This window comes from Homo sapiens, chromosome 10, assembly GCF_000001405.40.
Source record: "Homo sapiens chromosome 10, GRCh38.p14 Primary Assembly".
In the NCBI taxonomy this organism is placed as follows: domain Eukaryota; kingdom Metazoa; phylum Chordata; class Mammalia; order Primates; family Hominidae; genus Homo; species Homo sapiens.
This window is the reverse complement of record NC_000010.11, coordinates 84,555,827-84,579,581: the sequence shown is the minus strand read 5'-3', so window position 1 is coordinate 84,579,581 and position 23,755 is coordinate 84,555,827. Positions and strand designations below refer to the sequence as shown.

The 23,755-nt window shown below is 40.1% G+C and overlaps 1 long non-coding RNA gene and 1 pseudogene across 1 annotated transcript, besides 1 other annotated feature; both read right to left on the bottom strand.

Moving 5' to 3' along the window:
- Positions 1–4,244: 4,244 nt before the first annotated feature.
- LOC124902550 (uncharacterized) lies at positions 4,245–6,910 on the bottom strand. The gene is made up of 2 exons (XR_007062378.1): positions 6,823–6,910; positions 4,245–5,186 (listed from the first exon to the last, which is right to left on the bottom strand). It is a non-coding gene; the product is annotated as an uncharacterized LOC124902550 (long non-coding RNA).
- Positions 11,465–11,981: an enhancer, noted in NCBI's record as "OCT4-NANOG hESC enhancer chr10:86327357-86327873 (GRCh37/hg19 assembly coordinates)". NCBI's record gives its function as "activates a minimal SCP1, AML or CMV promoter by ChIP-STARR-seq in naive H9 embryonic stem cells {active_cell/tissue: H9 hESC(naive)}" and the evidence as "EXISTENCE:reporter gene assay evidence [ECO:0000049][PMID:30033119]".
- Positions 18,276–19,163, bottom strand: RPS3AP5 (RPS3A pseudogene 5; annotated as a pseudogene).

Genomic DNA, 23,755 nt, shown 5'->3' with positions numbered 1-23,755 from the left:
CATGCATTGCAGGTCTCTAGATTGAACATCCATTTCCCTTGTTCTTCTCTGCTCATTCCAGCTTGCTGATAATTTTACACCCAGTACTTTCATTTGACTGGTATTAAGGGACTCTTCATTCTTCTCTTCCCCAAGTATTCTTCTCTTCATTCAATACGTTCTGCCCATCCTCATGATTCCAGCATTTCATTCAACCATCTGCATTTATTTTATCTCCTCTCTAATACTTTACTTTCATTTCTCCCACAGTTTCTCCAAGTTCTCACACATGGTAAAAGAAGCTCTTTATCTCTTGAAACATTTAAGTCCTTGACTAAAGAAACATGCTCTCAAAAAGCACAAAACTATTTGATTAAATAAACTCTCAAAAATATAGCATTAATATAAATACTTGTATACTCTCATTTTTTTTCAAAATTGGAAGACATTTATTTCTCACTAAGTTTCAATTGTTGGCATACTTAAATACAGCCTACCCCTACCCTCATATATATACACATATATATTCTACATATACAAACATATGTATACACATACACACACACACATATATACAGTCATGCATCACTCAACCATGGGGATATATTCTGAGATGTGTCTTTAGGCCATTTTGTCATTGTGCAGACATCATAGAGTGTACTCACACTAAATGATATAACCTACTATGCACCTAGGCTATATGGTATAACCTGCTGCTCCTAGGCTAAAAACCTGCACAGCATGTTAGAATACTGTAGGCAATTGTAAATAACACAATGGTAAGTATCTGAATCCAAACATAGAACTGGAACTGTAAAAAATACAGTATAAAAGATAAAAATGGCACACCTGTGTAGGGTACTTACCATGAATGGAGCTTGCAGGAGTAAAAGTTGCTCTGGGTGGGTCTCAGATATTCCCTTATAGCAAAACAAGAATGGCTTAATAAAGTTGTCTGTTTATTAAGTTGTATAGACTCTGGATACAAGTCCCTTATCAGACATATGATTTGCAAGTATTTTCTCCCATTCTGTGGGTTCTCTTTTCAATTTCTGGATAGTATCTTTGAAGTATAAGTTTTTCATTTTGATGACATCTAATTTATCTATTTTTTGTTGTTGTTGCTTATGCTTTTAGTGTTATATTTTTTTCTTTACAGAGGTAATCAAGTTACAGTGCTATATTTAATAAACCATTGTCTAACCCGAGGTCATGAAGATTTACCCCTATGTTTTCACCTAAGGGTGTAATAGTTTCTCTAACATTTAGATCTGTGGTCCATTTTATGTTAGTTATATATATATTGTGTGAGATAAGGTGTTCAACTTCATTTTTTTTGCATGTGGATATCCAGTTGTCCCAGCAAAATTTCTTGAAAAGACTATTCTTTCCTTCATTAAATTGTCTGGGAAGCCTTGTTAAAAATCAATTGACCGTACATATAATGGGTTATTTCTGCATTCTAATTCTATTTCATTGATCTATATGTCTATCCTTATGGCAGTACCACACTGTCTTGGTGACTGTAACTTTAGAGTCAGTTTTAAAATTGAAAACTGTGAATCTTCAAACTTTGTTCTTATTTTTCAAGATTGTTTTGAATATTCTGGGTTCCTGGCATTTTCATATAAATTTTAAGATCAACTTGTCAATTTCTGGGGGGAAAAAACAGCTGGTACTTTAATTGGAATTGTGTAGAATCTGTAGAACAATTTGAGGAGTATTGCCATCTAAATAATACTATCTTTCAATCCATGAACATAGAACGTCCTTCCATTGATTTAGGTTTTATTTAGTTTATTTCAACAACATTCTGTAGTTTTTAGTGTAGAAGTCTTGTGCTTTATTGTGAAAATTATTCCTGAGTCTTATATTATTTTTGATGTTACTACAAATGAAATTTTTAAATTTCATTTTTTGATTATTCATTCCTAGCATATAGACCTACAATTGAGGCCAGGTGCAGTGGCTTATGCCTGTAATGCCAGCATGTTGGGAGGTGAGGCAGAAAGATTGCTTGAGCTCAGGAGTCTGAGACCAGCCTGGGCAACATAGAGAGATCTCATCTCTACTGGAAAAAAAAAAATGTTTTCAATTAGCCAGGCACAGTGTCACACACCTGTAATCCCAGCTACTTGGGAGGCTGAGCCAGGAGGATAAGTTGAGCCTGGGAGATAGAGGCTGCAGTGAGCTATGATCATGCCACTACCCTTCAGCCTGGGTGACAGAGTGAGACCTCACTTAAAAAAAAAAAAAAGAAATACAGTTGACTTTTACACATTAATCTTGCAATACATTAATCCTGCAATAATTCTGAACTTATTAGTTCTAACAGTTTTGTGTGTATGGATTACTTAAGATTTTCTATATACAAGATTATGGCATCTGCAATTATAGTTTTACTTATTTTTTTCCAGACTGGATGCCATTTAGTTTATTTTCTTGCCTAATCCACTGGCATGATCCTGCAGCACAATGTTCAATAGATGTTATAAGAGCAAACTTCCTTGTCTTGTTACTGATCTTAGTGAGAAAGCATCCAGTATATCATTATTCAGTGTGATGTCAGTTACGGATTTTTTTGTCAATGCCCTTTATCATGCAAAGAAAGTTCCTTTCTATTGCTACTTTGTTCTCTATATGTCATAAAATAGTGAAATGATTTTGTGAGATTTTGTAAAATGATTTTTCTATGTCTATTAATATCACTATGGTTTTAAAATTCTATTCACATGGTTTAGTACATGGACTGATTGTTTTAAAATGTTAAACCAACCTTGCATTCCTAGGATAAATCCCACTTGGTCATGGCATATAATCCTTTTTAAATATTCCTGGATTTGGTTTAACAGTATTATATGGAAGACTTTTGCATCTATACTCATAAAAGATATTAATTTGTAGCCTCATTTTCCTATGATGTCTCTTATTGGTTTGGATATAAGGGTTATGCTAGCCTCATAGAATGGGTTGGGAAGTTTAATATCCTCTTTTATTTTTTGGAAGAGTTCATAAAGGATTTGTATTTATTATTTAAACGTTTGGTTGGATTAAACACTGAAGCCATCTTCAGTATGCCTTCTATTAAAATAAAAATAGTTTTCATATTTTAAATTACACAATGTAGAAATTCTAAGCTAATTTTAAAAGATTAATAAATGCTCAGATGTGTTTACAAAACTTTATTAAGTCACTGTGTACCTCTCACCTCTCAATATCTGCATTCGTAGATATAAATTAATAGCTATGATTTTAAGTTGGTAATTTATATTTAACATTCATTGGCTGGAGTTATCATGTGAATATTCCACTCAGCTAAGAGAAAGAAAGGAGGAAAGAATGGAGGAAAATGGAGAAGAAAAACGAGGAGGGTGGGGAAGGTGGGTAGGGGGAAGGAAAAAAACAAAGAATCAATTTGTTAGAGGTCACACTGTTGTTAAGTACCTGTCTGTAAATCAGACCCCAGCAAACCCTTGCTTCTTTCACTCTGGTCCTGTGTTGACACAGCATCATCTCCTGTGCAAATCTATAGCTATTATAGGCTACCAGCTACTTCTCTTCACACTTGAGAATAAAGCCCATTTTCTGTTTTTTTGTTTTTTTTTTTTTTTTGATACGGAGTCTCACTCTGTCGCCCAGGCTGGAGTGCAGTGGTGCAGTCTTCGCTCACTGCAAGCTCTGCCTCCAGGGTTCACGCCATTCTCTTGCCTCAGCCTCCCAAGTAGCTGGGACTACAGGCACCCACCACCACGCCTGGCTAATTTTTTGTATTTTTAGTAGAGACGGGGTTTCACCGTGGTAGCCAGGATGGTCTTGATCTCCTGACCTCGTGATCCACCTGCCTTGGCCTCCCAAAGTGCTGGGATTACAGGCGTGAGCCACCATGGCCGGCCAAGAATAAAGCCCATTTTCTATAAGAAGATCTTATATGTGATGCTGCCTTTTTCGTCAAACAAATGGTGTGGCTGGCCTCTCACCAAATTATCAGTGTGATAAAGTGAAAAGAGCCTTGGGGTCAGAAGATCTAAGCGCTGAACAAGATTCTTGCTCCAAAGTTAGGAAACCATTGCATACCACCTTTCCTTTCCGGGTCTCAGTTTTCTCATCATTAACATGAGAGGTTCAGCCAGACTGGCTCTAAAGTGACTTTCATGATGCTACAGTTGGGGACAGTTCCTCTGTGTCACTGCAGAAATAGTCCTCAGAGGCAATTTGTTCCATGGTTATAAGAAGGGCCCTTGGAGTCAAAGACACCTGAATTCCAATTCTGGCTCCACATTTTATTGGCTGTGTCACCTTGGAAAGTCTATTATGCTCTATGAGCTTCAGTTTTCTCATATGTAAAATAGGGAGCATTTAAAAATACCTCCTTTATAGGGTTCTTTTATAGATTTAGTGAGGTAATTTGTTGTGCTAGTAAAAAGTAGGCACTCGAAAAATGTTGGCAACATTGTTAGGTGCTAGGCCCTTTGCTGAAGCTACATAAATAAACAAGACAGGGCCTGCTTTTGAAGAGCTCCCACTCCAACAAAAAAGGCAGAAATCGACACAGAAAAGTTTCGAAACAACATAATGTGTTCCACAACAGAGGTTTGTGTAATAGGTGAAAGATGCTGTGGGAACACAGAGGTTAGAGTTTGAGGGAGGGAGGGAAGATTTCACAGAGACGATAACATCCCAGGTGTGCTATGGATAAATAGGAAAAAGCCCATGGGAAGAAAGAAGTGGAAAGACATTCTAGCTGGAGAGGGCATCCTATGCACAGTCACAGAGGCCTGGGGTAGCAGGAGTGTTTTAAAGAAGAAACAATGCAGTGTGGCTCCAGTTTTAGATATGAAGAGAAAGATAGTGAGAAATGAAAATGGAGGGAGCAGTATGAGCCAATAAAAGGTAGAATTTAATGAGCCTCATTAAAAGGTAGAATTTAATTCTGTTTGCAATGAACAGCCCACAGAGGAGGGCCATGGTGAGTGTTGTGTTTGGGGAAGATAGTTTGGAACTCTGGCAGCCTGTGGGTGGTCTATGGGGAGAAGGTTAATAGAAGGAATGAAAAGAACAGAAGGGAAGTGCTTCCATATGAGGGTGGGTTCTCTGCCATGGCAGTGGAGAAATTGTGGGTAATAGCATTAAAGGTCCCAGGCCTCCTTCTTCCAGAATCCTCAGTCACCAGTGCTCCAAATGGGATGCTTCTGTTCTACATGGCAGTCCTGGGGAGAAAGGCAATAGGAAATAGTCATTGTTTGAGCACCATCTATATTCCAGGCACTCACTCACAGAGGCACCATCTGCTGGCTAAGCATAGAAATTCACTACCAGGACACACCACAGTAACAATAGCTACACACCACAGTAACAATAGCTACAGGCAGGATCATTGATGAATGCTAAAAATTAGTAAGAAAAACTTTCGGAAGAAATAAGATTTGAATAGCCTCAAAGTATCTCCACCAAGATATTTGTTAGTTACCCTGATGGTTTTAATATATGTCCAGAAATTATTCGGTACTCTTCTCCTCAGGACTTTGGAACTTAATTCTCTTTCTTTTGAGTGTGGGCTGGACTTAGTGACTTACTTCTAAAGGCTAGAATATGGAAAAGGAAAAATAGAGGAAACTGGGAGACATCCCCTTAATCAAATGATCTAGGTTAACATCACACATAATAAGTCATGTTGATATCATATACCCTGTGATATGATAAGATGGGAAGGACACTTCACCTCTTATGTACTCATAACTGCAGCTTCATCACGAGAGAAGATCAGATGAATTCAAATTCAAGGCCATTCTACAAACTAATTGACCAGTACACTCTAAAAAGTGTCAAGATCATGCAAGTCAAGGAAAGTCTGAAAACAGTCACAGGTTGGAGGAGATTAAGGAGACCTGATTAGACCAGTACACTCTAAAAAGTGCCAAGATCAGACGGGTGTGGTAGCTCACGCCTGTAATCCCAGCACTTTGGGAGGCCGAGGTGGATAGATCACCTGAAGTCAAGAGTTCGAGACCAGCCTGGCCAACATGGTGAAACCCCGTCTCTACTAAAAATACAAAAATTAGCTGGGCTTGGGGGCACGTGCCTGTAGTACTGGCTACTCGGGAGGATGAGGCAGGGCAATCGCTTGAATCCGGGAGGCAGAGGCTGCAGTGAGCCAAGATCACGCCATTGCACTCCAGCCTGGGCAACAAAGTGAAACTCCGTCTCAAAAATAAATAAATAAATGAATAAATAAATGTTTAAAAGTGCCAAGATCATGCAACTCAAGGAAAGTCTGAAAATAGTCATAGGTTGGAGGAGACTAAGGAGACTTGACAACTGAAGGCAAAGCAGTATCTTTGACTGGATCCTGAAACAGAAAACCAAACAAGAAAAAAACAAAATACAAAAAACACTAGTGGATAAACTGCAGAAATCCAAATAAAGTCTGTAATGGGTGACTAACTGTCCTGGTTTGCTGGGACTGAGGGGATCCTGGGGCATGGAACTTTCAGTTTGGGGGCCTTTGTTTTTTCTTTTTTCTTGAAACAGAATCTCGCTCTGTCACCTGGGCTGAATTGCAGCAGCACGATCTCAGCTCACTGCAACCCCCACCTCCCCGGTTCAAACAACTCTCATGCCTCAGCCTCCTGAGTAGTTGGGACCACAGGTGTGCACCACCACACCTGCCCTCAGTTTTAAAATCAAAACAGCCCAGTTTGTCTGGAACTGAAGGCTTTCCTAGGATGCGAAGTTTTCAGTGCTAAAAATAACGAAGGCCCAAGAAAACCTGCATGAGTTGGTTACCCTAGTAATAACAGTATTACAATTGTACCAAGGTTCGTTTCTTAACTTTGACTAACATACCATGGTTGTGTAAGACGTCAACATTTGGGGAAGCCAGATGAATGTTTACAAGAACACTGTTATCCTTCTAACTCTTCAGTAAATCTAAAATGAGTTCAAAATGAAACAAAACAATTGAACTAATTTTATAAAGTGGAGCTGGTGTGAGAATAAATATAAGTATCCTAGTATTGTGTCAGGAATTGGTGGGTTCTTGGTCTCACTGACTTCAAGAATCAAGCCGCAGACCCTCGCGGTGAGTGTTACAGTTCTTTAAGGCAGCGTGTCCAGAGTTTGTTCCTTCTGATGTTCAGATGCGTTCGGAGTTTCTTCCTTCTGGTAGGATCACGGTCTCGCTGGCTCAGAAGTGAAGCTGCCGACCTTCACATTGAGTGTTACAGCTCTTAACGCAGTGCATCTGGAGTTGTTTGTTCCTCCTGGTGGGTTTGTTGTCTCGCTGGCTTCAGGAGTGAAACTGCAGACCTTTGCGGCAAGTGTTACAGCTCATAAAGGCAATGTGGACCCAAAAATTGTACAGCAGCAAAATTTGTTGCCAAGAGCAAAAGAACAAACTTTTCCCAGTGTGGAAAAGGACCCCAGCGGCTTGCCACTGCTGACTCCGGCAGCCTGCTTTTATTCTCTTATCTGGCCCCACCCACATCCTGCTGATTGGTCCATTTTACAGAGAGCCGATTGGTCTGTTTTACAGAGAGCTGATTGGTCCATTTTGACAGGGTGCTGATTGGTGCATTTACAATCCCTGAGCTAGACACAAAAGTTCTCCACCTCCCCACTAGATTAGCTAGATACAGAGTGCTGATTGGTGTATTTACAAATCCTGAGCTAGACACAGAGTGCTGATTGGTGCATTTACAAACCTTGAGCTAGAAACAGAGTGCTGATTGCTGTATTCACAATCTCTTAGCTAGACATAAAGATTCTCCAAGTCCCCACCAGATTAGCTAGATACAGAGTGCCAATTGGTGCATTCACAAACTCTGAGCTACACACAGAGTGCTGATTGGTGCATTTACAAACCTTGAGCTAGACACAGAGTGCTGATTGGTGTATTTACAATCCCTTAGCTAGACATAAAGGTTCTCCAAGTCCCCACTAGACTCAGGAGCCCAGCTGGCTTCACCCAGTGGATCTCGCGCCAGGCAGCAGGTGGAGCTGCCTGCCAGTCCCACCCCATGCGCCTGCACTCCTCAGCCCTTGGGCGGTTGATGGGACCGGGCGCCCTGGAGGAGGGGGCGGCGCTCGTCAGGGAGGCTCAGGCCGTGCAGGAGCGCAAGGCAGTGGGGGAGACTCAGGCATGGCAGGCTGCAGGTCCCTAGCTCTGCCCCACGGGGAGGCAGCTAAGGCCCGGCTAGAAATCCAGTGCAGCCCCTGTTGGCCAGCACTGCTGGGGGACCCCGCGCACCCTCCGGCAGCTGCGGCCTGGGTGCTAAGCCCCTCACTGCCCGGGCCGGTAGCGCCAGCCAGCCGCTTGGAGTGCGGTCCGCCAAGCCCACATCCACCTGGAACTTGCGCTGGCCCACAAGCATCAGGCACAGTCCTGGTTCCTGCCCGCACCTCTCCCTCCACACCTCCCCACAAGCTGAGGGAGCTGGCTCCGGCCTCGGCCAGCCCAGAAAGGGGCTCCCACAGTGCAGCGGCGGGCTGAAGGGCTCCTCAAGCACGGCCAGAGTGGGCGCTGAGGCTGAGGAGGCACCAAGAGCGAGCAAGGGCTGCGAGGGCTGCCAGCATGCTGTCACCTCTCAGTATCTTCACTTTTCATGGCAAAGAGTTGTCAGATGGAGGCTAGCCTCAAGAAGGGACCAGAGATGGAAAAGTCTGGAACTAGACTCCCCTCTGTGTCTCTCTAGGCTGCAGGAGCAGATCCCGCTTCTCTCCCAGCCCATTGTCTCCCAGCAGCCCTGCTTCAGTCTTCTGGCCACACAGCTTTCTCTTTCTCCACGCACATAGCTGTCCAGCTCTACATGACATCTGCTCCCAGCCTCGGCAGTCAGCAAGTAGAGTCTCCAAGTCCCACTGTAAATTCCAAGTTGAGCAAAGCTGGGTCTTGTGCCCAGCTCTGACCTCAATCACTGATAGCCAGAGTGTGGGTGACACAGTCTGTACCTTTCCATCTTCAGAGTCTAAGGAGGTGGGTAATAGGGCAGGCAAATGGGTCATCAGAACAGTAATGTTCATAGTGGTAAGATGTGGGAAAAAAATACAAATAATGTTAAAGGACAAATGATGTTTGTATTGAGCATCTTAGTGTTGCCTCAAGTAAGCAAAGCCATTTTGTAAACAAAAGGAAATGTAAGGTACATACCCATTAATGGTCAAGTCAAAGACCAACAGCTGCCATTCCCTGCCTGAGTCACATGCAGACTCCCATGCAAGACCCCCTACTAGCCCCCTCCTCTCTAGTCTCAGGGACCCTTTCCCTCTGCTTCCAAGTGGCACGGGAGGCATGGCCTCCTACTTCCTCTATTTTCTTTCCGGTCTTAATGTGATATAAATTCTGTATCTTGCCTTACTCAGGTCTGCCCTTTTGAATCTTAAAAGCCTGTTTGAGGAATCAAATAACTGAAATCTGACTATTTCTTGTCATTTTCCTTCCTACTTATCTTACTTAGCCTGAAGATTGTGTGAACGTCTTGATTGACTACAAGTAGAAATCAGGGACATGCATGAGGAACTGGGGAGGGGATGCATTAAGACCAATATTTTGAATTGGACATGTCAAACGTGTGCCTGAAAACGTGTTTAATGTGAGGAAAACCTGCAACAGACCTACATGTTTTAAGTGTGTTTATAGGTGGTTCCATCTCGGAAAGAAAAAATAAATATATTTTGTAATCCCCAGTTACTTCTCTCAAAAGATACAGTATCTTTGCCTCTATTCCTTAACTTTTTTCTTCTCCTTCACAACCAGACAGTCAACTGGTTCAAGCCCAGTGATTGTCTGATTCTGGAACAAGATTTATTAATTTCAGTACGCCTAACAATTTCCATCTTTATTGCTTTAAATTTACAAAACTTACACTACATATCTGCACTTTCATTTTTTTCCATCTTTCCTTCATTTTTATGAAACAGGGACAAAATGCCACCAAATGTTTAAGCAACTGCATAAAGGTGCCCTGGACAAATAAGGTATGCTGTGGCCAAAACTGGACTGTTGGCCAGTGAGTAGTGCCAGAAACACCTGTTGAAAGGGTCATTCATCAGTTGATAAGCAGATGTGTACATTCGATAATGCATGGTTTCTTCCCCATCTTATGTACTGTATTAGATAAGCTTAATTTCATAAAAGTTTTATGCACTCATTGTAAAAAGCTAAACAGAGTTGTGTGAAGAACAAGTTAATTCTCCAGCCCTCTCCCATGCCCCTCCATACCCAATGCCATACATGGAGATAACCAATGTTTGTTGCTTGGTGTGTTTCTTTCCACACTTTTCTCTATACAAACATAAATGTATGTAAATATATGTACACAAACATTTTGTGCTTTGTTGTGTTATTTTTAATCTCAATGGATTCATACTATGAACATTATCTTGCTTTTTTAGCCAATGGCATATAATGGACAGACTTTTAGACCTCTGTATAGAAATCTAATTAATTTTACCTTATGCACAATATTTCACATTATGGATGCATATAATTTATTTATCCATTCCTCAAGATGAACCTTCAGATTAGTTCTAGTTTTTTGACACCACTATAAATTGCCTCATATATTTACAGAAAAAATAATGACCTATTATTTCTGTCAGAATGATGGCCCAAACTGATTTTACTAAATCAAAGGATTTGTGTGCTATTTATATCACTAGACATCACACATTAGTTTCCCAAAGGTTATAGAAATTCACACTTCCACCAGCAATGTTTCAAAGTGCTTATTTCTCACTACCATGGGGTGTTGTTACTATAGGGGTGAAGAGAATTTTGCTCTCCCTCTGAAGGTTTGAGTCTGCTGAAATGAACTGAAAATAGATCAACAGGAGAAAAGGCATATAAATGTATTAATATGCATAAGCACAGAAGCCATACGAAATATGAGACTCAAAGAAGGGCCAGATGGTTGAGGCTTAAATACCTTCTTCTTAGGGGAGAGGAAGATGGGTGATGTAGGCAATGGTGAGGGGGTAGTAAATGATTTTCAAGGGAAAGGAATGGGTCCAAAGAGCAGACAGTAGTTTTTAAATGATTGTTTTAGGAAATTGAATGGGACTGGCAAGTTGTGGGAAAATGAGGGGTAGAACTGCACTGTGAACAAAGGTCATCTAATTATGCAGATAAACTCTTTTAAGGCAATCTCGGAGATGCCCTCAAAAAAATAGATGGGCCAGGCACAGTGGCTAATGCCTGTAATCCCAGCACTTTGGGAGGCTGAGGCCGGCTGATCACGAGGTCAGGAGATCAAGACCATCCTGACTAACACAGTGAAACCCCATCTCAACGAAAAATACAAAAAATTAGCCGGGTGTGGTGGCAGGTGCCTGTAGTCCCAGCTACTCAGGAGGCTGAGGCAGGAGAATGGCGTGAACCCGGGAGGCGGAGCTTGTAGTGAGCCGAGATCGCACCACTGCACTCCAGCCTGGGCAGCAAAGCAAGACTCCGTCTCAAAAAAAAAAAAAAAAAAAAAAAAAAATAGATGAAAAGTCTGTCTGGGTATGGTGATGACGTGTAGTCTTTCCTCTTCTCTGGTGGTTAATCTTTCCTGGTTATTTAATGAGATTCCTAGGGAGAGGGATTAAGATAATTCCATTTCTTTTGGAGAGAAGTTTCCTCAGTCAGATAAGGAAATTCCAGAGAGAGAGCCTCTCCCTGCACTTTGGGGACAGGCGAGAAACAAAAGAAGATTAGAAAATCCTTGGTTCGGAAGCAGCTTCTAAGATCTTTCAATTTATTTTAATTCAAAGTGCTCAGCATGCCAAAGCACCATACTTTTGGGTATTGTTTTCTGAGCATCAACATTATCAATTGTTTTAACATTTGCCAATTTAATGAGTGAACAATGAAATCTCATTCTTTTCGTTTGCATTTACCTGCTTCATTAGTGAGATTAAGCATCTCTTCAAATGTTAATTAGCTAACACTGTGAATTGTCTCTCCTAATCTTTGCTGGGATTTTTTTCTCCTGTTAAGTTGTCTTTTTCTTCCTGTATTAGTTTTCTATTGCTACCATAATACATTACCATAAACTCAGCAGCTTAAACAACACAAACTTATGTTCTAGAGGTCAGAAGTCTAAAATCGGTCTCAATTGGACTAAAATCAAGGTGGCAGCCAGATCGTGTTTCTTTCTGAACATTCTAGGGGAGATCTGTTTCCTTGCTTTGCCCAGCTTTTCAAAGCTACCCACATTCTTTGACTTGGACCCTCTCATCATCTTCAAAGTCAGCAATGACAAGGCAAGTCCTTCTCAAACTACTGTCTCTTTTGTTCTCTGCAGCCAGAAAAGGCTTTTGCATGTAAGGTCACATTAGATTGAGCCCACCAGGATAATCCAGGATAAACCCTGCATCTCAGAGCCCATTAATCACATCTGCAAAGCCTTATTCATAGGTCCAGGGGATTAGGGCATGGACATCTTGGGGGCTGTGACTCTGTCTAATACACTGATCAATGTATGGAAGCACTTTTTTAAAAGAATATAATCTCGTTGGCATAAATGTTGCACACATTCTTTAACCTATTATTGGATCTTTCATATTGTTTATGACTCTACCCTTTTTAGAATGTCTGCTCTCTTCAGACTTGCAAATAACTTTACTTTTTACCTTTCTTGTGGCTGAGTACTTCTGAGATAAATAATAGTTTCCTGAATTTCCTAATTTAAAGCATAAGTAGCGTGAAGAGCCAGAATCACGATGTCAGTGATATTCACACCCTCACCAGGTGTCTGATAGAAAATTTAGGGTAACAGTTGGAATTAATCCTGACAATGGGGTCATTTGGGTAGACTTGGATTAATTTGAATACCTTGGACTCTCAAATTCTTTTGAGTCATCCTTTACCAATAGAAGTGTCCCATGTCCCCTCAGTTTTGACCTGCATAGCTCTGCCTTGCTTCAAGACCCTAAGCAAAGCAGGGTCTTTCTGTGTTACCAGAAAGGGGTCTTAATCCAGACCCCAAAAGAGGGTTCTTGGATCTCACACAAGAAAAAATTCAGGGCAAGTCCATACAGTGAAGTGAAAGCAAGTTTATTGAGAAAGTAAAGGAATAAATGGGTGACTACTTCATAGGCAGAGCAGCATGGAGGGCTGCTGGTTAGCTATTTTTATAGTTACTTCTTGATTACATGCTAAACAAGGGACAGATTATTCACGAGTTTTCCAGGAAAGGGGCAGGCAATTCCTGGGACTAAGAGGTCCTCCCCTTGTCAGATCATACAAGGTAACTCCCAGACATTGCCATGGCATTTGTGAACTGTCATGGTGCTGGTGGGAGTGTCTTTTAGTGTGCTAAAGACACGCTAAATTATAATGCTATCAGCATTATAATTAGCATATAATAAGCAGTGAGGACGATCAGAGGTCAATTTCATCACCACCTTGGTTTTGGTGGGTTTTGGTTGGCTTCTTTACTGCATCCTGTTTTATCAGCAGGGGTCTTTTTGACCTGTATCTTGTGCCGACCTCTTATCTCATCCTAACCTAATTCAGGAGTTTATCATGCTTAACTTCCTGGGAATGCAGCCCAGAAGACCTCATCCTCATTTTGACCAGCCCTTCTTCAAGATGGAGTCGCTCTGATTTGATTGCCTCTGACAATTATCTTACCTGTAATCAATAGGATTGTAATTGTGAAAGTGAGAGACAGGACTAGCTGGATTTCCTAGGCCAACTAAGAATCCCTAAGCCTAGCTGGAAGGTGACCGCATCCACCTTTAAACACGGGGCTTGCAACTTAGCTCACACCCGACCAATCAGAGAGCTCACTAAAATGCTAATTAGGCAAAAACAAGAGGTAAAGAAATAGCCAATCATCTATTGTCTGAGGGCACAACGGGAGAGACAAGGATCTGGATTTAAACCCAGGCATTTGAGCCGGCAACAGCAACCCCCTTTGGGTCCCCTCCCCCTCCTTTTGTACGGGAGCCCTGTTTTCACCCTATTAAATCTTGCAACTGCACTCTTCTGGTCCATGTTTATTACAGCTCGAGCTGAGCTTTTGCTCACCGTCCACCACTGCTGTTTGCCGCCGTCGCAGACCCGCCGCTGACTTCCATCCCTCCAGATATGGAAGGGTGTCCGCTGTGCTTCCGATCCAGTGAGGCGCCCATTGCCACTCCTGATGAGGCTAAAGGCTTGCCATTGTTCCTGCACAGCTAAGTGCCTGGGTTCATCCTAATCGAACTGAACACTAGTCATTGGGTTCCACGGTTCTCTTCCATGACCCACGGCTTCTAATAGAGCTGTAACACTCACTGCATGACCCAAGATTCCATTCCTTGGAATCCGTAAGGCCAAGAACCCCAGGTCAGAGAACACGAGGCTTGCCACAATCTTGGAAGTGGCCTGCCACCATCTTGGGAGCTCTGTGAGCAAGGACCCCCTGGTAACAAAAGGAGTCTCATTCTCCAGCCCCCACCACTCCTTCTTGCTAGAAAACCCATAATTAGGATCAGATCCCAGCCTAACCTAGGGGTATGGATATAAATATGACATTAAAAAGGAGCTAACACCCTGAATTCCAATCTTCTGCTAATTTATAACAGCAAATACTTAGGGATTATTTATGGAAGGGATACTAAGGGAACTAGACCAGGGAGGAAAGGACATAATTGTGATCCCAAATTAATATATCCATATGGATACTCTAACTAGACATTCCGATGCAATATTAGATAAAGCAGTGGCTCTGTTAGACTTCAAGAATGGTAACCTAAACTGTGGATTCAGTGATGACCTGTATTAAATCAAGTGGAAGTGCTAAGATATTTTGGCATAATTTTCTTGGAGAAAATAACTCAAAGATTAGAAACATAGCAATGTTGCAGTGGATTTACATGTGTGATCTACTCATGCATAACCTAAATACGTCTCCCAGAAGACACAGAGAAACTTTATTTAATGAGGCACTAAGAAGTATATTGATGGCCAGGCACTGTGGCTCATGCCTGTAATCCCAGCACTTTGGGAGGCCGAGGTGGGTGGATAACCTGAGGTCAGGAGTTTGAGACCAGCCTGGCCAACATGGTGAAACCCCGTCTCTACTAAAAACTACAAAAATTAGCCAGGTGTGGTGGCGGGTGCCTATAGTCCCAGCTACTTGGGAGGCTGAGGCAAGAGAATCGCTAGAACCTGGGAGGCGGAGGCTGCAGTGAGCTAAGATCGCACCACTGCACTCCAGCCTGGGCAACAAGAGCAAGACGCCGTCTCCAAAAAAAAAAAAAAAAAAGAAGTATATTGATTAGGAACACCAGCATCATTATCAAAGCTCAGCAGTGGCTGTCCTCCACTGGCCAGGGGTGACATTAGTTGATACTGCCACAGAAATGGGATCCTTTCTTTCAGTAGAGGTGGTGGTATATTGCAGTGTTCCTGAGACATTAGCATGCATCAGAATCACCTGGAGGCTTGTAAAAAACAGATTGATGGGCCCCACTTGCGAAGTTTCTGATTCAGTAGGTCTGGGTGGGGTCGGAGAATTTGCACTTCTAACAAATTACCAGCTGATGCTGATATTGTTGGCTTAGAGCCCACAACTTGGGAACCAGAGAGCATACTTGAAAGGAATAGAGGAAGTAGAGGCACTCAACCACAGAGATAAGGGAGGTGCGGGTACAATAACTGGCAGCAGATTTAAATGATTTCAAAATGTTTTAACTCATGGAGATATCCGTCAGTGGTCAAATCATCTTACTGTTCCTGTGACTGGAATAGACTGGGGACTACCAAAGTCCTAATTTTTTTCTGTTCAGTTAATCAATAAACAAAAAAACAAAGATTAGGTCTGGTGACAGCACAAAGATTCCTGGCCTCTCATCCAATTCTCAGTGTTTTGCTACTTCACCAACGTGGAGCTGCTTGACTGAAAGGGAATCCAGCTCCCGTGTGGAAGAGTCCTAGGACACTGCCACAAGTGTGCACAGTAATTCTTCCTTCATACCCACCATGGGACCTTCAGGCACAGGGCTGATGGTGCATGGAGAAGGGACTGCCCGGGCTTGTCAGAGATTACCGGACATTGACTCTAAATTGACAGTAATCCCCAAGGACTCAAAACACCACTGCAGTTCAACTGTCGAACTGGGGGTTTTGGAAGACAGGTGATACAGAGAGCTTCTGCCTTAGTCCATTTTCACAGTTGGCCAGTGTCCATAAACCCACTCTGTAGATATTTACCCAGTTACTGAATACAAAATATATGCTCTCAGTTCTCACCATGGGGAGCTCTGCTGGTTTAAAGCCCATAATTACTAAGGAAGAAATGTTTCTACCAGAGGACACTGGAAGTTGAATCTTCCACTTGGCAATTTTGAGCTCCACATGCCACTGAATTAGCAAGTAACAAAGGAGACTATACAGGCTGGGTTCCCTGCTCCTAATTATCAAAGAGAAATGGGGCTGCTGATACCCAATAGGGACAAGGGGGAGAATGTCTGAAACAATGGAATATATATTTATTTATATATTTTTATATATAATATACTATTTATATATACACACATATAAATAAAATAATTGCCAACTAAAAATTTTGTAGCCATCATAAAAGTCTTTTATGTCCTTCAAAATAAAGACAAACTAGATACTTTTTTCAGATAATCAAAACCTAACAGACCCATGTTGAAACACTAAACACTAAAGGAAAATTTTCAGGCAGAAGAAAAACAATTCTAGATGGAATCATAGATTTCCAGAAAGAAAGTAAAAGCATTAGAAAGAATATTATAAATACACACGCGCACACACACACACACACACACACACACAGAGATCTAAATGAACACTGACTGTATGAAACAGCAATAATTATGACGTCATGCGGGGTTTAAAAACAGACGTGCAATTTTTAAGATACATGAGAATAAATAGTACAAAAGGCAAGAGATACACGAAGTACTTGAAAGCCCTTGAATTACCAGAGTGTGGAAGATCATTTTTGCTAGGCTTTAATAAGTCAAGAATGCCTACTGGAATCTAAGGTAACCATTTTTTTAAAACTGCAAAAAAAGATAAACCTATCAAACTAATAGAGAAGAATGGAATAAATAAAAACTATTTGATGAATCTATAAGAAAGCAAGAAAGGAAAGAGAAAGAAATATAGAGCAGGTGGGGCCAATAGAAAAAAAGTAAGTAAGATGATAGATTTAAACTCAAATATATTAGTAATTATATTTAAAACAAATTAAATATTCCAATTAAGAGGTAAAGGTTATTATTTGGATTAGAACTCAACTATTATATACTTTTTACAAGAGATACACCCAAAATATATGGATATTAAAAAGATGAAAGTAAAATTTAAAAAAGTACCATACAAACCCTGATTTAAAGAAAGCTGGTATGACTGTAGTAATTAATATCAGACAAAATTCACGCCTGTAATCCCAGCACTTTGGGAGGCCAAGATGGGTGGATGCCGAGGTCAGGAGATTAAGAGCATCTTGGCTAACACAGTGAAACACCGTCTCTACTAAAAATACAAAAAAATTAGCCGGGCGTGGTGGCGGGCGCCTGTACTCCCAGCTACCCGGGAGGCTAAGGCAGGAGAATGGCGTGAACCCGGGAGGCGGAGCTTCCAGTGAGCCGAGATGGCGCCGCTGCACTCCAGCCTGGGCGACAGAGCGAGACTCTGTCTCAAAAAAAAAAAAAAAATCAGACAAAATGAACCTTAGTCACGCCTGTAATCCCAGCACTTTGGGAGGCTGAGGCAGGCAGATCACGAGGTCAGGAGATCGAGACCATCCTGGCTAACACGGTGAAACCCCGTCTCCACTAAAAAATACAAAAAATTAGCCGGGCGTGGTGGCGGGCGCCTGTAGTCCCAGCTACTGGGGAGGCTGAGGCAGGAGAATGGTGTGAAACCAGGAGGTGGAGCTTGTAGTGCGCCGAGATTGCGCCACTGCACTCCAGCCTGGGCTACAGAGCCAGACTCTGTCTCAAAAAAAAAAAAAATGAACTTTAGGACCAACATGCTATAAGTGATAATGTGGGGTATTTCATAATTATCAAAAAGTCAACAATCAGTACAATTGAAAAAATATAAATTTGTATGTGCCTAATGGTATAGCATTAAAATAAATAATTTAGTAATTAACAAACCTAAGAGAAAAAAAGAGTCCATAACTGTAGTGTGAAATTTTTAATATACTTCTCTCCATAACTGAAAGAGTAAATAAACAAAAATTTAAAAATGAGAATACTTAAACAACATGTTTAGTATACATCGCCTGACATATATAAAATACAATAACCTAAACTGCAAAACATACCATTACTTTCTCTTTTTTTCCCACAAATAGCACTTTTTATTTGACACTATTTGAAGTCTGAATTTTAAACAGATTCTTGGACTGGTAGTTCATATCCATCAGCTCGTTCAACTTTAACACCTGTCTCGTCCCCAGTGGCTTTTCCAGAACTACAGCCTTCACCATGAAGCTCCATGAGCTTTCCCAATTCAAACTTGGGCTTCTTCAGCATTTTTACTTTTCTAACGAAGACATCATGGAGAGGATAAATAGATTGGCAAGCCTTTTCTACGTCTTTTCCAATGCTGTCTGGAATCAATTTATTGACCACTTCTTTCAAGTCATTTGTCTGCACCTCTCGGGTCATGATTTCCATCATCTTCTTCCGGATTTGGCTGGTACTGAGCATAAGAGGTCTTCCGGATTTCTCAGGACCTGCTGGTGCTGAGCATAAGAGGTCTTCCGTATCTGATTGTTGCGTTTTTTAGTAAAACCAACACAGAACAGACGAAGCAAGTAACCATCGGTAGTCTTGACATCAACGTGAGCTTCAATCATTGTCTGCCATTTTTTGACCATGGAACACATTTTGTCACTGGTAAGATCCACGCCATGGAAGTTAGTCAGGCAGTTTTTACCCTGAACATCTTCAGTAATCAGCTTGAATTTTCTAAATGCAACTTCATCATTCTGCAAATCAGCAAGACTCACTTCAAACACACGACCATCAGATGCAATTTTGGTTCCTTGGGTCCTGGTGACGAGCGTCTTTCCAATATTTCTTATATTGAACATAGCAGGTGCGTTCACATCGTACCAATCTTTCTTAGAAAATGGATCAACCACTTTCTTCTTGGCTCCCTTTTTGCCACCTTTCGTAAGGCGCTTGTTCTTGTCAACCACCATGGTGCTGGTCAGAGAGCCAAAAGGCATACCATTACTTTCAAATGCACATAGAAAATTTACCAAAATCAGGCCGGGCACAGTGGCTCATGCCTATAATCCCAGCACTTTGGGAGGCCAAGGCAGGTGGATCACCTGAGGTCAGGAGTTCGAGACCAGCCTGACCAACATGGTGAAACCCCGTCTGTACTAAAAATACAAAAATTAGCCAGGTGTGGTGGCACATGCCTGTAATACCAGCTACTTGGGAGGCTGAGGCAGGAGAATCGCTTGAACCTGGGAGGCGGAGGTTGCAGTGAGCCGAGATCACGCCATTGCACTCCAGCCTGGGTAACAAGAGTGAAACTATGTCTCAAAAAAAAAAAAGAAAAGAAAATTTACCAAAATCAGTCATATACTAACTCATAAAGCAAGCACCAACAATTTTTAAGAAATTAATATCTTCCAAAGTATATTCCTTAACTGTAATGGAAATAAGCTAGAAATCACTTCTTAAAAAAAGGTAACTAGAAAATTTCCAAATGTTTAGAAGTTAAGCAGTATACTTCTATATAGTACATAAGTGAAAGAAAAAGTTACAAAGGAAATTAGAAAACATCTGGAACTGAATGGCAATGAAAATATGACATATCATAATTTATGGGATTCAGTTAAAGTTATGAATAGAAGAAACTGTTTACCATTAAGTGAACATATGAGAAAAGATGAAATGCCAAAAGTCAAGGCTCTAAACATCCATCTCAAGAAGTTAGAAAAAGAACTGCAAATTAAACTCAAAGTGAAAGAAAATAATAAAGATAAGAACAGAAATTAATGAAGTGGAAAACAAATGCAGAACAGAGAAAAATCAAGAAAGCCAGAGTTCAAAATCAAGGCTTGCCCTTTGAACACTTGAATGAGATTTGTAAATTTATAAATCACTGGAAAAAATTAATCATTAAAAAAAAGAAGGCACAAGAAACCACTATCAGGAATGGAAAGGGGAATTAAAAAGAAAATTAAGTGAAAATAATGTGTAATCTGTTGTCAGTACATTTACTGATTTACATATTTAGATAGAAAGAATGAATTCATAAGAAAAAAAGAAATAGAAATTTGAATTGTACTATACATTTTAAAGAAATTAAACACATATCTGAAAGCCTTTTATCAAAAGATTTAGGCTTAGATAACTGCATTGGTGAATTCTTCCAAACATTTAAAGAAAGATAATGCCAGTCACACCCAAACTTTTCCAGAGAACAGCAACTGGGAAACACTTCCCTACTTGTTCTATGTAGAAGTATAACCTTAGATTCCAAACTCTGACAAGGTTATTATAAGAAAAGAAAATCACGAGCCAATCTCTCTTAAAACAGAATTGAAAGCATTACAAATCTAGCAATTTATAAAAATAACAATACATCACAACCCTAGATGTGCATATTCCAAGAAAGGGAACTTAACATTTAAAACTCAATTAATTTAATGTACCACATAAACAGAATAAGGGAGAAAAATCACATGATCATTTTAATAAACAAAGATAAATCATTTGATAAATTGTATATGTATTCACAATAAAATCTTTTAGCAAAATAGAATTAGAAGGGGACCTTCTTCATCTATTAATTTATAGATACCAGAAACCTACAACCAACATCACACCTAACAGTAAAATCCTAAAAGCTTTTCCCCTAAGATTAAAAAATAAGACAAAAATGACTGGGAGTGAGGGTGCATGCCTATAATCCCAACTACTTGGGAAGCTGAGGCAGGAAAATTGCTTGAACCCATGAGGTGGAGTTTGCAGTGAGCCAAGATTGCACCACTGCACTCCAGCCTGGGTAACAGAGCGAGAATCCATCTCAAAAAAAAGAAAAAAAAAAAAGAAATAAGACAAAAACACTTGCTATCACCACTTCTATTCAACATTATACTAGAGATTCTAACTAGTGCAATTAAGCAAGAACAATAAATGAAAGATTTAAGAATTGGAAAGAAAGACATAAAACAATCATAACAGATTACTATATAGACTACATAGTACACAATAGAAAATACACAAAAACTTGTAGACAAACTATTAGAATTAATAAGCAAACTTAGCAGAATCACTAGATAAAAGGTCAGTATACAAAAAGCAGTGGTAGCTTTAGATTCTAACAAACAAATAGAGAAAAAAATTTTAATATTCCAATTATAATATTGTAAATTTAAAAACTGGAGAATAAATCTAACAAAGAAGGTACAAGAATGCTACACAGAAAACTATACAACATTTTGAAAAATTGAAAATGACCTAAATAAATGGAGAGATATACCATATTCATGAAGTGGAAGAGAATATTATACAGATGTTAATTTCTCCCCAAATTAATCTATAGGTTCAATGCAATTCCTATCAGAATATCAGCAGGGTTTTCCAATTTGGCTTAGAAATTTATGAGCTGATTTTAAAATGTATATGGAAATGCAAAAGGCCAAAAAAAGTGAAAACCCTCTTAAAGATTTTATAAAAATCTTGGAAAGACTTAGGAAGAAGAACCAGGAAGATCTTAGAAAGAAAAACTATGTGGCTAATATGAGCTCCTCAATATCAAGACTTAAAAGCCAAAATAATTAAAGCAGTAATTAAGTCAATGAAATGGAAAATGGAATCCAGAAATAAAACCCACACAATACAACTACTTGGTTTATAACAAAGGTAATGTTGCATATCGGAGGAGAATATGATGGTCTTTTAATAAACATGGTGCTGGGTCAACTAGATAAACATTTGGAAAAATTATTGGATCTTAACTTCTACTTTATACCATTCACAAAGAAATCAAACATGCAGATTGTAAATTTAAAAGGAAACAGGATGGACACGGTGGCTCACGACTGTAATCCCAACACTTTGGTGGGCCAAAACAGGAGAATCACTTGAGCCCAGAAGTTTGAGACAAGCTGCAGCAACATAAGGAGACACCATCTCTACAAAATCAAATTTTTTTTTTTTTCCAAAATGGAGTCTTGCTCTGTCACTCAGGCTGGAGTGCAATGGCATGATCTCGGCTCACTGCAACCTCCACCTCCTCAGGCAATTCTCCTGCCTCAGCCTCCCATGTAGCTGGGATTACAGGCACACACCACCATGCCCAGCTAATTTTTGTATTTTTAGTATAGACAGGTTTCACCATGTTGGCCCGGCTGGCCTCAAACTCCTGACCTCATGATCCACCTGCCTTGGCCTCCCAAAGTGCTCGGATTACAGGCATGAGCCACTGTGCCCAGCCAAAAAAAAATTTTTTAATTAGCAGGGCATGGTGGTATATGTCTATATTTCCAGCTACTTGGGAGACTGAGGCAGGAAGATCACCTGACCTTGGCAAGTAGAGGCTGCAGTGTACTGTGATCACGCCACTGCATTCCAGCTTGGGTGACGGAGCAAGACCCTGTCTCAAAAAAAAATAAACAAATAAAAAATAAAAAAATTAAAAGAAACAAAACAATAAGATCCTAGAAGATAATGTTAAGATTTTTTTTTATTATTTTAGGATAAAAAGAGATTAACTAAACAGGAACCCAAAGGCACTAGCAATAAAGGAAGTAATTGCTAAATTAGACCTGATTAAAACTGGGAACTGCTGTACTCCAAAAAATACTGTTAAGAGAATCAAAAACAAGTCACAGAATAAGAGAACTTTTGCTACATATGTATACATACACACACACACACACACACACACACATATGTGTATGTAGCAAAAGTTACAATATAATATTATATATGTATAATTTTAAAAGGGCTTAAATCCAGAATATATAAAGATCTACTACAAGTCAATAAGAATAACGCAGATAATGCAATAGAAAAATGCAATAGCTTTATGTACATGATACGTAAAGTGGGAAACTTGAACAAGTACTTCACAAAAAAAGTATAGAAAAAATGGCCAATAAACATATTAAAATGTGCTCAATTTTATTAGTCATTAAGAAATTATATATTAAAGCCACGATGAAATACCATTTTACACCCATGAGAATGTCTAAATTTAAAAAGGTTGGCAATACTAAGCATTGTTTAGTACAGCAATTGGAACTCTCATATATGTTAAATAAAATATGGTTCAACAGATCCATACTGATATGGTTTGGGTCTGTGTCCTCACCTAAATCTCATGTTGAATTGTAATCCTCAGTGTTGAAGGAGGGCCTGGTGGGAGATGATTGAATCATGGGGGTCGGACTTCCCCCTTACTGTTCTTATGATAGTGAGTGAGTTCTCACTGGTTGTTTGAAAGTGTGTAGCACCTCCCCCTTCACTCTCTCTCTTCCTTCTTCTCCTTCCCTGTAGAGGTGCCTGCTTTCCTTTCACTTCCTCCATGATTGTAAGTTTCCTAAGGCCTCTCAGTCATGCTTCCTATACAGCCAGTGGAAATGTGAGTCAATTAAGCCTATTTTCGTCATTAATTACCCAGTCTCAGGTTATTTCTTTATAGCAATGCAAGAATGGACTGACACACACACAATGGAATACCACTCGACTTTTTAAAAAGAATGAAGCATTTATATGTGCTTGCACAGAAAAAATTCCAATTCATGTTTTTAAATGAATAGAGTAAAAGGATAAATAGTATATTTCTTATATG